Source organism: Homo sapiens, chromosome 8, assembly GCF_000001405.40.
Source record: "Homo sapiens chromosome 8, GRCh38.p14 Primary Assembly".
Lineage (NCBI taxonomy): Eukaryota > Metazoa > Chordata > Mammalia > Primates > Hominidae > Homo > Homo sapiens.
This window is the reverse complement of record NC_000008.11, coordinates 80,227,782-80,245,342: the sequence shown is the minus strand read 5'-3', so window position 1 is coordinate 80,245,342 and position 17,561 is coordinate 80,227,782. Positions and strand designations below refer to the sequence as shown.

The following is a 17,561-nucleotide window of genomic DNA, read 5'->3' as shown; positions in this document are numbered from 1 at the left end:
CTGGAGGAAGGCAAGCACTGTTTTGCATTTTAAGCAGAGGGAATCATTTGAGGAAGGTATTGGAGGCATGTCAATTTAGAAGAAATGCAAGCAGTGTAATTTGGTGTTGCAGGAGTGAAGGTACATTGGTGGAATGGTGGGAAGTGAGCTGGGAGACCTGGGACATAGTTCATCAATAGGACAGCAGAATGCCGCTGTGCCTTTTATTTTATCTATTTATTTTTGAGACAGGGTCTCGCTGTGTTGCCCAGGCTGGAGTGCAGTGGGGCAAACATGACTCACTGCAGCCTTGACCTCCCAGGCTCAAGTGATCCTCCCACCTCAGCCTCCGAAGTAGCTGGGACTAGAGGCACACACTACCAGGCTGGCTAATTTTTATTTTTTTTATTTTTACTTTTTTTTTTTTTTGAGGCAGGGTCTCCTCTGTCACCCAGGCTGGAGTTGCAGTGGTGCAATCTTGGCTCACTGCAGCCTCCACCTCCCAGGTTCAAGTGATTCTCCTGCCTCAGTCTCCCAAGTAGCTGGGACTACAGGTGCCTGCCACCATGCCCGGCTAATTTTTGTATTTTTTGGTAGAGGCAGGGTTTCACCATGTTGCGCAGGCTGGTCTCAAACTCCTGGCCTCAAGTCATCTGCTCGCCTCGCCCTCCCAAAGTGCTGGGATTACAGGCATGAGCCACTGCACCTGGCCAAATTTTTAAAATTTTTTGTAGAGACAGGGTGTCACCATGTTGCCCAGGCTGGTCTTAAACTCCTGTGCTCAAACAGTCCTCCCACCTTGGCCTTCCAAAGTGTTGGGATTACAGGTGTCAGCCACCAGACCCAAGCCCCTGTCCCTTTTATTCCTAATCAAAAGTTCTATTATGTTCCTCACTTACCCTGGAATTTTAGACCACACACATACACACCTTTTTACTTTGATTAAAAAATAATATGCCCTGTCATCAGTAGAAATGGGATTATGGCACATGGGAAGATTGATATTTATATCTGGTACCTTTTCTGCAGACTTCATATATTCATGTATTCATAAACTATGTATATCTTCATTTACACACTGTGGTTTACAAGATCCTTTTTAAAATCATCTTTCTGGGCAGGCGCGGTGGCTCACACCTGTAATCCCAGCACTTTGGGAGGCAGAGGCAGGCAGATCACCTGAGGTCAGGAGTTCGAGACCAGCCTGGCCAACATGGTGAACCCTTGTTTCTACTAAAAATACAAAAATTAGTGGGTGTGGTGGTGCACGCCTGTAATCACAGCTACTGGGGAGGCTGAGGCAGGAGAATCACTTGAACCCGGGAGGTGGAGCTTGTGGCAAGCCAAGATTGTGCCACTGCACTCCAGCCTTGGAGACAGTGAGACTCCATCTCAAAAAAAAAAAAAAAAAATCGTCTTTCCATCTTAAGTAGTAAAATATCTACAGCATAGGAATATGTATGTATATACCTGAGTTGATGCTTATATTCAGTATAAGCAGTTATATGGATTTGGGGAAATTCTGATAAATTTGAAAAATTAGACGTGCAATGAAATTGGCATTTAATTAGCTGTTAATTAGAGACACCAAAATATAATAGTTTGCAAAAATTGTTCCTTGTTCAAATTCCCAGTATGAAAAGCTAAGTTTATGTGCCAGCACCTTGCACAGCAGTGGTTTTTTAATAATTCTCCTCGAACTGATGCCCTTGGCTCTCCATCTGTCAATATATTACCATCTGAATTTCTTTTTTTTTTCTTGTCTTTTTTTTTTTTTTTTTTAAGACAGAGTCTCGCTCTACCGCCCAGGCTAGAGTGCAATGGCTAGATCTTGGTTCACTGCAACCTCCACCTCCTGGATTCAAGCGATTCTCCTGCCTCAGCCTCCCAAGTAGCTGGGATTACAGGCACGTGGCACCGTGCCCTGCTAATTTTTGTATTTTTTAGTAGAGACGGGGTTTCACCATGTTGGCCAGACTGGTCTCGAACTCCTGACCTTGTGATCTGCCTACTTCGGCTTCCCAAAGTGCTGGGATTACAGGTGTGAGCCACGGCGCCCAACCTACCATCTGAATTTCTATAGGGAAGGCATATTTTTAAAATCTTGTCTTTGCTCTTGCCTTTCACTGTGATTTTAAAACTGTATTTCTAATGAAGTGATGTTAATTTCAGCTCAGGCAAATAGTTGTCCCCAGCCTGTTAAAAATGGAAACACTTCTACTAGTTTCCTTCTTATCATAAATTATGAGGTGACACAGACAGGGGTGAAATCAGATCAGTGTGACCCAAGACAGCCAGGGAAAGAATCAAATCGTTTTTAAATGGAATAGAAAATAAGTTGGGAATCTTGATTTCAAGGCTGTAGGAGTAAGGAATGCAGCACAAAAATTCAATGAAAATAATTTAGATCATAAAGTTTTGGTTGGAAGTAGGCAGAAAACTAGATATAAATGAGTGATTCTTATAGGCATAGCTAAAGGTTATAATGTTTTATAGTACAGAAAAAAGGTAGCCAGGGAGCTAAAGGAGGATGCTTTCTATGCAGATTTGGAGAGAGAGCACATTACTTTATCATCAATCATAGTATCTCTGCCTCCTAATGACTAGTATTTTGGTGGAAATTCACAGGCAAGCAAAGCTGACAAAGAGTTTGGGATCCTGAATTATAAATAAAGATAGCAGGTGCCAAATCCAAATATGTATAGTGCCAGTACATGAAAAAAAAATCAAAATATAATTTGAAGAATTCCAAGTTCCAAAAGAAAGGGCTATATAATATATATGTATATTATATATATACACATATATATTTATATTTATTTTAGAGATGGGATCTTGCTATGTTGCCCAGGCTGACATTGAACTTCTGAATTCTAGGGATCCTCCTGCCTCAGCCTCCCAAGTAGCTGGGACTACAGTTACCTGCCACCATGCCTGTCCAGAAAGATATGTTTTCTAAGAAGAAAATAGAAAATTACAACAGGCACAGGAAAATAGAAAATGGAAAAAAATCTGTAACTGAAAAAGCAGAGAAATTTGGGGGGAAAGCTAATCATTAAAATAAAAAGAGTAATTTTTATATACACATATTCAAACTTAAAGAACGATTTTCAGGGCCCAGCTTGGTGGCTCACGCCTGTAATCCCAGCACTTTGGGAGGCCAAGGCGGGCAGATCACCTGAGGTCAGGAGTTCGAGACCAGCCTGGCCAACATGGCAAAATCACATCTCTACTAAAAATACAAAATTAGCTGGGTGCGGTGGCAGGCGCTTGTAATCCCAGCTACTCAGGAGGCGGAGGCAGGGGAATCGCTTGAGCCTGGGAGGCAGAGGTTGCAGTGAGCTGAGATCGCACCACTGCACTCCAGCCTGGGCAACTCTGTCTCAAGAAAAAAAAAAAGAATGATTTTCAGAAATCAAATCTAAGTCCTGTCAAGTGTTTTCAGGTTTGTTGGAAAGGATATACAGGTATAAGACAACCTTATTCACCAAGAATGGGTTACAGTCTCTGTTTTTCATTCTTTCCAGCCAAGTCCCTATGCCCACTACCCTCACAATAAGTGTGATCCTTGGAAGGGATCCTGCAATCTTGTGGACATTTATTTTTTGTTGTTGTTGTTGTTGTTTGTTTGTTTGTTTGTTTGTTTGTTTTGAGACAGAGTCTCGCTGTTGCCAAGGCTGGATAAAAGTGGTGAGATCTTGGTTCACTGCAACCTCTGCCTCCCAGGTTCAAGCGATTCTAATGCCTCAGCTGGGATTACAGGCATGTGCCACCACACCCAGCTAATTTTTGTATTTTTAGTAGAGGCGGGGCTTCACCATGTTGGCTAGGCTGGTCTCCAACTCCTGACCTCAAGTGATCTGCCCACTTCGGCCTCCCAAAGTGCTGGGATTACAGGCATGAGCCACTGTGCCTGGCCAAGATTTGTTGTTTAATGTTGACTTTTGGTCAGGCACAGTCGCTCATGTCTGTAATACCAGCACTTTGGGAAGGTGAGGTGGTAGGACTGCTTGAGGCAGAGAATTAGAGACCAGCCTGGGCAATATAGTGAGACTTCATCTCCACAAATATTTTTAAAAACTAGCTAGCCCTGGTGGTGCACACCTTTGGTCCCAGCTGCTCAGGAGGCTGTGATGGGAGGATCACTTGTGCCTGGGAGGTTGAGGCTGCAATGGGCCATGATCAGCCTGGGCAACAAAAGTGAGACCCTGTCTCAAAACAAACAAACAAACAAAAAGCAACTTGATTTTTAATGCCAGATTATTTCTTTTTCTCTCCAGTGTTCTGCTGTATTTCCTCCCTACCCTTGACTGAAGCTTCCCTTGAATCACAATATTCTTGTCATTGAGACTCTCTCTCAGCCTGCAGCCGTGGTAGAAGAAAAAAGGGAAGAGAACCCGAAGGCATTTGAGACATCTCCTTGTCGGTCTCTCCAACAACAGTGGCTAGAGACTCTCTGTATTCCCTGACTCTCAATCCTGAGCGGAGGACAGAGCCCAGAGCAGAGTCCTGGGAAGCACAGGGGCTGGCTGAAGGGAAAGGCGGACGCGCGGGGCCGCAGGGCGGCGCCTGGGAGCCAGGCAGCACCCTGGGCCGATGCGCGGAGTGCTGGAGGGCGGCGCTGCGGAGCACGCCTCTGTGGAAGGCACGCCTCTGTGGCTGGAACCAAAAGGGAGGTGGATGGCGTTCAACTTTGACAGAAGCCGAGGACTGCAAAGAGACGGCCTGGTAGAACCACAACCCTGATGCTGTCTCGACCTGGGCACAGTTAATAATCAGGGCAGGTTAATAGGTAGTCACCCGGACACTGATAGGTTTCCTGCCGAATGTTGAAAGACTGCGAAGAAGCCTCCCTGGGGACAGTGACCAAACTCTCCTTTGAAGGCAAATTTCCATTCTCTTGGGAAAACACAGCCTTGCAATCCAGGGACATTTTTGGAAGGCAGCTTGGTGATCTTTTGCTGTTACAGATTAGGTTTGCCCCCATGAGAGTATCACCCCCACCACCACATCTCAAAGCAGCTTATCAAAGAATTCCCTCCAATGCTTCCAGCTCTTTCTCTGAAAGCAGTTCTGGTAAACTCAGTTTTCATTTTCTCATTATGTTTGCAGTGCTATTTTAGTGTCCCACTCACTAACCGAGCTCTGACAAAGAGGAACGAGAAGGTGTGAACTCAGGGCTGCCTCCTAGGATGACTGGGACTGTGCGCCACACAGGACACGCGGCCCTGGTGGGCTCCCAGCCCCGCGGGCCCGCAGCTGCTCAGCAGCCTGTGCACCCCTGGGGCTGTGGGCACCTAAAGAAGAGAGCCTAGGCTCCAGATGGAAGCTTGCTGGTCAAAAAAGTCAAAAGTGGCCGGCGTGGTGGCTCATGCTGTAATCTCAGAACTTTGGGAGGCCGAGTTGGGCAGATAGCTTGAGGTCAGGAGACCAGCCTGGCCAACATGGCAAAACCCCGTCTCTACTAAAAATACAAAAATTAGCCAGGCGTGGTGGCGCTGCCTGTACTGTGGTCCCTGCTACTCAGGAGGCTGGGGCAGGAGAATTACTTGAACCCGGGAGGTCGAGGTTGCAGTGAGCCGAGATTGTGACATTGCACTCCAGCCTAGGCGACAGACTGAGGCTCTGTCTCAAAAAAAAAAAAAAAAAAAAGTGTGATGCTCTTTCCGGAGCTGGGATCACCTAAATTTGCAGATTAAAGATCTGAAAACTTGAAAATAGAAAATAGTGACCCATACTCTCTCATTTTCCTAAGACTTTCCGATCTCCAATGGAAGGCCGGAGAAAGGAGGGCTACAGAGGAGGAAAACCACTTCTTACCTGTGTGGGGTAAATGTGCCTTTCTGCTGCTCCTGAAAATAGGGTCAGGTGCTCACTGAAGTTTACTGCTGCATGTATAGGCAAATCCAGTTGCAGTTTTCTCAAACAATTCTTGTCTTGGGAATTGCTTCCTTGGGAGAAAACCCACTGGTGGATAGAAAATCAGAAGATTCAGGCTCGGGCTTCACTTTTGTCATTGGTTTTGATGTGGTCAAATCATTCTTTCTGGGTTTGTTTCCCTGTGCTTAAATACATCTGCTAACATTTTAAAAATAATTTACTATGTATCTGAAATAGTGCTGGGTAAGCCATTGCATGTATTATCACAATGCGACAATACATTAAAATAGGTAATATTCCCATTTTACAGAACGTCAATTAGAATTTGCCCAAGATCACACAGCAGATACTTTTAAATGTGCATAGTGTCCACTACAATATGCCACTGCCTCTTAACATGGGGCTAATAACATATAACTGGTTAGGTACAGGGCCACCTTAGACACTGCACAGTTCTGTGGCTTGGAGATGTGCAGTGTCAACTTGGTTAGTTGTACACAGGGCCTTGATTAGGTCCACCCACAGTGTCCTATACATATTTGTTATTACACTGATTATGTTATATTGTAATGTAATATTTTATATTTATATATATATGTTATCCACACATCCTGCTTCCTTTGCTTGGGGTATAAATGATGTCATTCCACATGGTGTCCCATCTTCCTTGATGGGCTTCTTCACCCTTGACAGAGGCCACTCCCCTGCTATGAACCTGAGTGCCAGGAATGCACATGTATATCCGAAGGGGTAGCCCCAGATACACTTACCTCACTTACAGAAGCCGGAACTGAGGCTGGAAGAGTCTACACTCCTCGTGCTGGATGCCTCCAGAGTCCCACAGCTGACACCATGGTTACTGAAACCAGAGCTCTGATGCGGCTACTGAAATCTGGCAAAATGGAATGATGCTCAGGCTAAGCCTCCTGCTCCACTGCAGCCACCACCACTCGTGCACCATAAAGCAACATTTCCTCGAGATGGGAGGGTGGGTTGCTACTTCCCTCAGTGTCTCACTCAGCTGTGTTAGCCAGGGATCCCAGTGTGGTGGCATTTCCAACGCAGCTGGGGGATGGGCAGGGGAGGGCACAAGTTCCATCAACTGCTGTGGATCCAGAACACCCATCCCTCTTCTAACTCCAAGCCCTGGGTGCAGAGGCCACACTGTACTAGTCTCATCTCCAACTTCTGCCAGGCTCATTTCCCCCATTCAATGAAGTGGAACACATTTAAAGTACAAAGGTGAGGGGTCGCTCTCTTGGTGCTATTCTTCCCCAGCTAAAATGTCTCCTTGTTGTTTTCACCTCCCCACTCCCCTGCACTGTGAGCTGGCTGAAGGCTCCTCTTCACATTGGTCATGGTTTTGCCACAATGCATGGCCCACAGAAAGCACTGGAACATTCACAAATGAACATCATTTCCCTTCTTGATTCTCTGTGTTTTATTTATTTATTTTGAGATGGAGTCTCACTCTGTCATCCAGGCTGGAGTGCAGTGGCACCATCTCAGCTCACTGCAGCCTCTGCCTCCTGTGTTCAGGCGATTCTCCTACCTCAGCCTCCTGAGAAGCTGGGATTACTGATGCCCGCCACCACGCCAGGATAATTTTTGTATTTTTAGTAGAGACAGGGTTTCACCATGTTGCCCAGGCTGGTCTCGAGCTCCTGACCTCAGGTAATCTGCCCGCCTCTGCCTCCCTAAGTGCTGGGATTACAGGCATGAGCCACCGCACCCAACTATTTATTTATTTATTTATTGAGACAGAGTCTGGCTCTGTTGCCCAGGCTGGAGTGCAGTGGCGCAGTTATGGCTCCCTGCAGCCTCGATCTTCTAGGCTCAAGTGATCCTCCTGCTACCTCAGTCTCCCAAGTAGCTAGGACTGTAGCCACATGCCACCACACCCAGCTAATTTTTAAATTTTTTGTAGAGACAGGGGCCTCACTTTATTATCCAGTCTGGTCTCAAACTCCTAGGCTCAAGTGATCACGCTGTCTTGGCTTCCCAAAATATTGTGATGTACAAGCATGAGCTACTGTGCCCAGCCTCTTTTTCTCTGTTTTCAAAAGTCCATAATTTCCTTCTTGATCTAACACCTTTTTGGCCGTGTTTCTAGAAAAGAGAAGCTGTTGATCACAGGTGCCATTAGGATTGGGGTGGCCAGCCTGTGGTTCCAGGTACCAGGATCGCAGGTGCATTCTGGGCAGATTTTGGAATCAGTAAGTAGGAAAACAAATTGCTAGGCTGGGCACCATGGCTCAAACCTGTAATCCCAGCACTTCAGGAGGCCAAGGCAGGCAGACTGCTTGAGCCCAGGAGTTTGGGACCAGCCTGGGCAACATGGTGAAACTCTGTCTCTCTTCTTCTTCCTCCCCCTACTCTCCCTCTTTTCCCTTTTCTCCCTCTTCCTCCTCCCTCTCACCCTCTCTCTCCTTCTCCTTCTGCTACTGCTGAGCATACAGACGGGCCTGTTAATTTGTACTCTGCCCCAGCCTTCTGTGGGTTAATATAGTCACCTTTACACCCTGGTTCAGTCCAGGATAGTTTCAATTTATGTTATTCTGTCAAGACGGTGTTTTGGTTTTGTTTAAAGGTTCTGAGAAAGCACGTAAATACCTAAGCACTGAAGAAATGGGTAATAGGTGAAAAGCAGATTGTATGGCAATGGGGTAGCATTGCACTAAGCACCTGTCTAGGCCAGCCCCCTTCCCTGATCCTTTTACCCAGGCTTTCTGAAGGTGCTATGGACACCCAGCTGGAGACACGATGTATGCTCAAAAGGAGCTGGTCTAGGCTCTGGCTGGGCAGGCCACAGTTATACCCTTGAAAGTTTAATAACTATGAGGCTATGTATTGTCACAGGTCAAAGATGTTGAGTCAATACTAAAAGACATGAGCATGAGCATGCAGAGAAAGAAACAACTCCTGTGGGCTGGAGGGGACAGAGAAGGCCTCTCCGGGACAGGGGACTTGATGAGGACTTGAAGGGATTTGAATAGTTGATGAGAGTTATGTGAGAGAAAGTGTAGGGATGAGAATCAACCAGTGAATAAATATTGACTGAGGGCTCATTTTGGGGAGGGTAACGCATTTCAGGGAGGGTACCCAGAATGTTCTGAAGACAGTGAGCTGACAGGTTGTTAGGTGTGGAGGGCTCATGGGAGAAATGGTTGGAAAGGTAGATTAAGGCCAGTTTGTGAGAGCCTTGAATGCCATGCAAAAATGTTTGGAAGTTATCCTGTGAACTAGAGATTTCCACAAGTTGGCCAGGCGCGGTGGCTCACGCCTGTAATACCCGCACTTTGGGAGGCCAAGGTGGGTGGATCACCTGAGGTCAGGAGCTCAAGACCAGCCTGGTCAACATGGTGAAACCCCATCTCTACTAAAAATACAAAAATTAACCGGGCGTGGTGGCGGGTTCCTGTAATTCCAGCTACTCAGGAGGCATGACAATTGCTTGAACCCGGGAGGCGGAGGTTGCAGTGAGCTAAGATAGCACCATTGAACTCCAGCCTGGGTGACAAGAGCAAAACTCTGTATCAAAAAAAAAAAAAAAAAAAAAAAAAAAGATTTCCACAAGTGTGCTGCCACTGGGATGTGCCCCAATAGGTTATCAGTGAGAGGTGGTAGTGAGATCAGGGAGGTGGGGGTGCCTGGCCATCGCAGGCCAGGGGCCTCTCCTCAGCAGGCCCCTTTGTTCATCCCAGTGTCCATAGAAATATGTTCATAGTCTATGTTTGCTTTGACTTGGAAACGTTGGCTATCACTGCTCTATAGACAATGACTTGCTGAAAATGTTTGTACACTTATGTGATATTTTGAGTTGCAATTTTAGTTTTCTTCCCAACAGGCTTATAAACTCCTCCAGGACAGGAGCTCTGTCTTACCTCTTCTGTTGTTGCCACTTTACTGTGTGGAGAGTCAATGCTCAAGAGGTATTTCTACTTGATTATTTAACTAATAGGATATTATGGCTTTGAAAAAACAAAACCTCACAAATCATATAATAGGGATGACTGGGCCAGGTGCTGTGGCTCACATCTGTAATCCCAGCACTTTGGGAGGCCAAGGCCAGCAGATCGCTTGAGCCCAGGAGTTCAAGACCAGCCTGGGCAACATAGAGAGACCTCGCCTCTATAAAAAATAGCCGAGTGTGGTGGCCTGCACCTGTAGTCCCAGCTACAGGACTGATGCAGAGGTGGGAGGATCGCTTGAGCCCAGGAGACGGAGGTTGCAGTGAGCCGAGATTACACCACTGCACTCCAGCCTGGGCAACAGAGTTAGACCCTGTCTCAAACAACAACAACAACAGTAACAACAACCACAACAAAAAACAAATAACAATTACTACTCTGCCTGCTTCTAGGAAAGCTTAGAAATAATAAAATTCCAAGTGAGAGTGACTCTACGTAGTGGGCTAGAAAAATATGCTTTGAAGGATTGTGTAACACTTATGCTGGTGGCCATGCTTAGAACTGTCAAGAAAAAAAGAGATCAGACCTGGGCTCTTGGTCCTGAAGAATCAAGGCTGAATCATTTGTTAAATACCTCTTCATCATAATCCTATTAAGACTGTATTTAGCAGTCATCAGGATAACGTAATTTTCTTCTCTGTTAATCTTTCGTTCTTTTTTTTTTTTTTTTTTTTTTTTGAGACAGAGTCTTGCTCTGTCACCCAGGCTGGAGCTCAGTGGCGCAATCTTGGCTCACTGCAACTTCCGCCTCCCAGGTTCAAGTGATTCTTGTGCCTCAGCCTCCCAAATAGCTGGGATTACAGGAGTGCACCACCACACATGGCTGATTTTTGTATTTTTAGTAGAGAGAGGGTTTTACCATGTTAGCCAGGCTGGTCTCAAACTCCTGACCTGAGGTGATCCACTTGCCTTGGCTTCCCAAAGTGCTGGGATTACAGGTGTAAGCCACTGCGCTGGGCCTGTTAATCTTTATTCTTAGTTGGGGGTGGGATACGAAGTTTTCTTACCATATGAACCAGTAATTCCATCCCTAGATATCTACTGAAGAGAAGTGAAAATGTAAGTCTACACAAAAACTTGCATATTAACACTTACAGCAGCATTACTTATAATAGCCAAAAAGTGGAAACAACCCAAATGTCCACCAACTGGCAAATGGGTAAGTAAAATATGGCATATTCATACAATGGAATATTATTCAGCAATGAAAAGGAATGAAATACTCATATATGCTACAACTTTGAATCATTGTTAGTGAAACAAGCCATTCACAAAAGGCCACATATTATATGACTCAATCTATACAAAATGTCTAGAATTGTCAAATTTATAAACACCAAGTAGATTAATGGTTGTTCAGGGATGGGCAATGGGTAGGAGAATGGAAAGTGGATACTAATCGGTACAAAATTTTTTTATTTTTTGAGACAGTCTCATTCTGTCACCCAGGCTGGACTACAGCGGTGCTGCCAGGGCTCACTGCAGCCTTGACCTCTTGGGTTCAAGTAATTCTGCCACCTCAGCTTCCCCAGTAGCTGGGACTACATGTGCACACCACCACACCCAGCTAATTCATTTTTCATTTTTTGCAGAAACAGGGTCTTACTATACTTTGTTGCCCAGGCTGGTCTCGAACTCCTGAGTTCAAGCAATCCTCCTGGGTCCGGAATTCGTGGGTTCTTGGTCTCACTGACTTCAAGAAAGAAGCCGCGGACCCTCGCACTGAGTGTTACAGCTTTTTTTTTTTTTTTTTTTTTTTTTTTGAGACGGAGTCTCGCTTTGTCGTCCAGGCTGGAGTGCAGTGGCGGGATCTCGGCTCACTGCAAGCTCCGCCTCCCGGGTTCACGCCATTCTCCTGCCTCAGCCTCCCAAGTAGCTGGGACTACAGGCGCCCGCCACTACGCCCGGCTAATTTTTTGTATTTTTAGTAGAGACGGGGTTTCACCGTTTTAGCCGGGATGGTCTCGATCTCCTGACCTCGTGATCCGCCCGCCTCGGCCTCCCAAAGTGCTGGGGTTACAGGCGTGAGCCACCGCGCCCGGCCGTGTTACAGCTCTTAAGGCGGTGCATCTGGAGTCTTTCCCTTCTGCTGTTCAGATGTGTTCGGAGTTTCTTCCTTCTGGTGGGTTCGTAGTCTCACTGGCTCAGGAGTGAAGCTGCAGACCTTTGTGGAGAGTGTTACAGCTCTTAAAGCAGCGTGTCTGGAGTTGTTCGTTCCTCCCGGTGGGCTCGTGGTCTCGCTGGGCTCAGGAGTGAAGCTGCAGATCTTCGCGGTGAGTGTTACATACAGCTCATAAAAGCAGTGTGGACCCAAAGACTGAGCAGCAGCAAGATTTATTGCAAAGAACAAAAGAACACAGCTTCCACAGCGTGGAAAGGGACCCGAGCGGGTTGCCACTGCTGGCTCGGGCAGCCTGCTTTTATTCTCTTATCTGGCCCCACCCGCATCCCACTGATTGGTAGAGCCAAGTGGTCTATTTTGACAGGGTGCTGATTGGTGCGTTTACAATCCCTGAGCTAGATATAACTGTTCTCCACGTCCCCATCAGATTAGTTAGATACAGAGTATCCACACAAAGGTTCTCCAAGGCCCCACCAGAGCAGCTAGATACACAGTGTCAATTGGTGCACTCACAAACCTTGAGCTAAACACAGGGTGCTGATTGGTGTGTTTACAAACCTTGGGCTAGATACAGAGTGCTGATTGGTGTATTTACAATCCCTGAGCTAGACATAAAGGTTCTCCAAGGCCCCACCAGAGCAGCTAGATACAGAGTGTCGATTGGTGCACTCACAAACCCTGAGCTAAACACAGGGTGCTGATTAGTGTGTTTACAATCCCTGAGCTAGACATAAAGGTTCTCCAAGGCCCCACCAGAGCAGCTAGATACACAGTGTTGATTGGTGCACTCACAAACCTTGAGCTAAACACAGGGTGCTGACTGGTGTGTTTACAATCCCTGAGCTAGACATAAAGGTTCTCCAAGGCCCCACCAGAGCAGCTAGATACAGAGTGTCGATTGGTGCACTCACAAACCCTGAGCTAGACACAGGGTGCTGATTGGTGTGTTTACAATCCCTGAGCTAGACATAAAGGTTCTCCAAGGCCCCACCAGAGCAGCTAGATACAGAGTGTCGATTGGTGCACTCACAAACCCTGAGCTAGACACAGGGTGCTGATTGGTGTGTTTACAATCCCTGAGCTAGATATAAACACTCTCCACGTCCCCACCAGATTCAGGAGCCCACCTGGCTTCACCTAGTGGATCCCGCACCGGGCCTGCAGGTGGAGCTGCCTGCCAGTCCCGCGCCATGCGCTCGCATTCCTCAGCCCTTGGGTGATCGATGGGACTGGGCGCCGTGGAGCAGGGGGCAGGCATTCGTCGGGGAGGCTCGGGCTGCACAGGAACCCACGGAGGCGGGGGAAGGCTCAGGCATGGCGGGCTGCGGTCCCGAGGCCTGCCCCGTGGGAAGGCAGCTAAGGCCCGGCGAGAAATCGAGCGCAGCGCCGGTGGGCTGGCACTGCTGGGGGACGCAGTACACCCTCCGCAGCCGCTGGCCCGGGTGCTAAGCCCCTCACTGCCCGGGGCCGGCAGAGCCGGCCGGCCGCTCCGAGCGCGGGGCCCGCCAAGCCCACGCCCACCCGGAACTCCAGCTGGCCCGCAAGCGCTGCTCGCAGCCCCGGTTCCTGCTCGCGCCTCTCCCTCCACACCTCCCTGCAAGCTGAGGGAGCCGGCTCTGGCCTTGGCCAGCCCAGAAAGGGGCTCCCACAGTGCAGCGGCGGGCCGAAGGGCTCCTCAAGTGCCGCCAAAGTGGGAACCCAGGCAGAGGAAGCGCCGAGAGCAAGAGAGGGCTCTGAGGACTGCCAGCACACTGTCACCTCTCACTCCCACTTCGGCCTCCCAAAGTGCTTGGATGACTGGCATGAGCCACTGTGCCCGGCTCAGAATTTCTTTTTGGGGTGATGAAAATGCTCAAAGTTAGATTACGGTGATGGTTGCGCGCCTCTGTGAATATACTCAAAAGCCTTGAAAACAAAAGTTGAGGTGCTACAAACTAAAGGATCTAATCGCAGTCACAGAACAGTTGCCCATGCTTAGTGGCAAGAGGCTGTATCCTGAGGACTTTTGTGTTTCCAGATTTCTCCAAAGGAGAATTACAGTTTGGCAGGTGGAATGAGGGTCAGGTAGAAAAGGCTGACGATGCAACTAACTTTAAGGAGGGGGAGGACAAAGGGTGAAGACCAGGTCAGTGTGGAGAAAGGGAGGTTGTAGGATGTTAGTGCTTCAGAGGAAAACAACAACGAGCTTTTCTCTCCTCTCTGGGGATCCTGGTCAGCTTCACATTGGTGGCCCAGAAATCAGTCTCAGCCCCTCCCAGTATGGACCGCTCCTTGACAGCCGCCCTCTCTCCTATAAAGGCAGATGCAAGCTACGTTTGTGTGGTAAGTGAACCCAGTTGTCTGAATTCTGATTTTGCAGCTTTATGAATTGGATTTAGTAGCACCGACTGGTTGCTGAACAGTAGAGGGCACTGTTAGCATGTAAAGTCTGGGTTGAGCCGCACAGGAAGAAGGAAGTAGTTGGGTTAGAGTCAGCCTTGCATGAGATTCTAGCAATTAGATTAGTGTAACATACTTTGGATTTTAGAACACAATTGCCACATTCTTGAAGTCGTAGTTTAGCATACATGCCACCACATTAAATAAAACCGAACTCCAGCAGCACTGTTCATTCCTACAGGGATGATTTATTCAGATAGTCTGGACATTCTTTGATCCAAGTATTAAATAAATGCCTGCAATGCACATGGTATTAGGTACTTTGATACGGCTTAAAACCATAAATTCAAGAATAGTGCTTCAAGCTGCTATTGAGAGCTTTTAAAAATGAAAACCTGTTATCCATATGCACATTCATACTTGAACTCAGAATGCAGTAGAATTCTATTCAAGGATACAGTATCGTCAGGAAACATCTGATAGAGAAGGAGAGAAACTTTTTGGCTTTTTAATCTGGTTTCCCTGCCAACTCAACTGTGTGAAAATATAACCATAGTTAAATTTATTCAGCGCACTCTGTGTGCCAGGCAGTGTTCTACGTGCCTTACAACCTTGACACAGAAGTGTGGTCTGTGGAGCAGTGGAGTCAGCAGCCCCAGGAGCTTGTTAGAAATGCAGATTCTTGGGGACATCCCAGAATCTGCATTTAAAAGAGATCTGTATACAAGTTAAAGTTTCAGAACCACTCCTCTCTCCTATGTATTATCTTATTTAATCCCCATAACAGAGGCACTATTATTATCTCAATTTTTAAGTGGGAAACTGAGGCAAAGAGAAGTTCAGTAACTTGCCCAGTACAAAGCTGGGAATCTTTACTCAGGCAAAATAGCTTCCATGCCCTGCTATTAGGTTGATGTAATTGCTTTTACTGCTTTTTTTTTTTTGACGGAGTTTCGCTTTTGTCGTCCAGGCTGGAGTGCAAATGGCGTGATCTTGGCTCACCACAACCTCCGCCTCCCAGGTTCAAGTGATTCTCCTGCCTCAGCCTCCTGAGTAGCTGGGATTACAGGCATGTGCCACCACGCCCGGCTAATTTCATATTTTTAGTAGAGATGGGATTTCTCCATGTTGTTCAGGCTGGTCTCAAACTCCCGACCTCAGGGGATCCGCCCGTCTCGGCCTCCCAAAGTGCTGAGATTACAGGCGTGAGCCACCGCACCCGGCCTAATGTCACTGCTTTTAAGGCAAAAACCGTAATCACTTTTGCACCAACCCAATATTATTCCTATCACTTCACTTCTTTTATTTTTATATATTTATTTATTTTTTGAGATGGAGTCTCGCTCTGTCGCCAGGCTGTAGTGCAGGGGTGAGATCTTGGCTCACAGCAACCTCTGCCTCCCGGGCTCAAGCTATTCTCCTGCCGCGGCCTCCTGAGTAGCTGGGACTACAGGCGCGTGCCACCTCACCCAGCTAATCTTTTTTGTGTGTTTTTATTAGAGATGGGGTTTCACTGTGTTAGCTAGGATGGTCTCGATCTCCTGACCTCGTGATCTGCCCGCTTTGGCCTCCCAAAGTGCTGGGATTACAGGCGTGAGCCACCGTGCCTGGCCCACCCCAGCTATTTTTAAAGATTTTGTAAGGACAGAGTCTCTCTATGTTGCCCAGCCTGGTCTGGAACTCCTGGCCTCAAGCAATCCTCCTGCCTTGGCCTCCCAAAGTGTTGGGATTACAGGTTTGGGCCACTGCAGCCAGCTCCCTGTTTGTATTTAAATACAGCTGAAATCCTTAAAGTGAAAGTACTGTTTATGGGTAAGTTATACAAAGCAAAATCTAAAAAAGCGTTCTCCAGAAAGAAGAACAACCATTGTGCCACTATCAGTTTGCCCCTGATTTCCCAGTGGGTCATAAAGAAGGTAGAAGGCACCAGCACTTGGTGTTTACTGCGGTTGTCAGGACAGATCCGGCAAGATGTGAAGAAGCTCTGGGACCCTGACATGGCCAAGGTCAACTTGCTTGGGAGAGAAGAAGGCATACTTTAGACTAGACCTACCATGATGCTTTAGGTGGTGCCAACAAAACTGGGATCATATAAGTGGATTGCAGCTCACTAAGTCTAAATATATTGAGGTTTTCCACTATCCAAGAAAAGAAATGACAACCGTGTCCTCCCCAACACAACACACACACATAAACACACACACACTTTATCCTCCTTCTACTTTTGCTCAGTTGCATTTTTTACCATCCAATATATATATTTATTTGGTTATTGTTTATTTTTTCCATGAGAATGTAAATTCCCATAAGGATGGGGATCTTTGTCGATTTTGCTCACTGTGCACCCCTCTCCACCCCCAGCTCTTAGAAAATTCCCTGGCACAATACAGATGTGCTATGATATTGCTGAATGAAAAAATGAATTGTTCTTACCTGACTGTAAACTTCTTAAGATGTTAGGCCATGTTTTACTCAATTTGATATCTCAAAAACTTAGCAGTGTGATTGAAAAAAACACCTTTTTTGTTATTGAAATGTAATTTTCTTATTCAGACCATACATATGAAAGTTTAAATTGTATATGTTGTTGCTGTCACTGATGTCTTCCTTCTGTTGTTCAGAAATGATCAGATCAAAAATTTGGACATTGTACCACAATTCATAAGAGAAACCCACTCTAGCTATAATAAAGGATAATTACATGTTATACATTTCATGTATAAAGCTTTAGAGAATTTCATACTTGGCTGGGAATTTTTATTTGATATATACAGATTGTCTTTTACTATTTTTAAAATTTTTTGTAGAGATAGGGTCTTTCCATGTTGCCCAGGCTAATCTTGAACTCCTGGGCTCAAGTGATCTGCCTGTCTCAGCCTCCCAAAGTGCTGGGATTATGGGCCTGCACCACCATGCCTGGCCATATACACATTTTAGTAGCTCATAAAGGTATCACTTTTTACTTAATGCTATTGAATTGCTTTTTTTTTTTTTTGAGACAGAGTCTTGCTCTGTCACCCAGGCTGCTGGAGCGCAGTGGCACGATCTCGGGTCACTGCAACCTCCGCCTCCTGGGTTCAAGCAATTCTCCTGTCTCAGCCTCCTGAGTAGCTGGGACTACAGGCGTGTACCACCATGCCCAGCTAATTTTTCTATTTGTAGTAGAGACGGGGTTTCACCATATTGGTCAGGCTGGTCTAAAACTCCTGATCTCAGGTGATCCACCAGCC

At 46.7% G+C, this 17,561-nt stretch overlaps 1 long non-coding RNA gene and 1 other non-coding gene across 4 annotated transcripts in view, besides 2 other annotated features; one reads left to right on the top strand and one right to left on the bottom strand.

Annotated features, from left to right (window-relative positions):
• Nucleotides 1–3,869: 3,869 nt before the first annotated feature.
• MIR5708 (microRNA 5708) lies at nt 3,870–3,954 on the bottom strand. The gene has a single exon (NR_049894.1). It is a non-coding gene; the product is annotated as a microRNA 5708 (primary transcript).
• Nucleotides 4,459–4,538: a silencer, noted in NCBI's record as "silent region_19321". NCBI's record gives its function as "represses an Ori minimal core promoter by ATAC-STARR-seq in GM12878 lymphoblastoid cells {active_cell/tissue: GM12878}" and the evidence as "EXISTENCE:reporter gene assay evidence [ECO:0000049][PMID:35858748]".
• Nucleotides 4,549–4,608: a silencer, noted in NCBI's record as "silent region_19320". NCBI's record gives its function as "represses an Ori minimal core promoter by ATAC-STARR-seq in GM12878 lymphoblastoid cells {active_cell/tissue: GM12878}" and the evidence as "EXISTENCE:reporter gene assay evidence [ECO:0000049][PMID:35858748]".
• LOC105375920 (uncharacterized) overlaps nt 13,165–17,561 on the top strand; it is a 54,525-nt gene continuing 50,128 nt past the window's right edge. Inside the window, exon 1 of one of the 3 annotated variants that reach the window (XR_929093.3) lies at nt 13,165–14,274. This is a non-coding gene — a long non-coding RNA (uncharacterized LOC105375920). The remainder of the gene's footprint in view (nt 14,275–17,561) is intronic. The other 2 variants (XR_929095.3, XR_929092.3) reach the window with 2 other exon arrangements.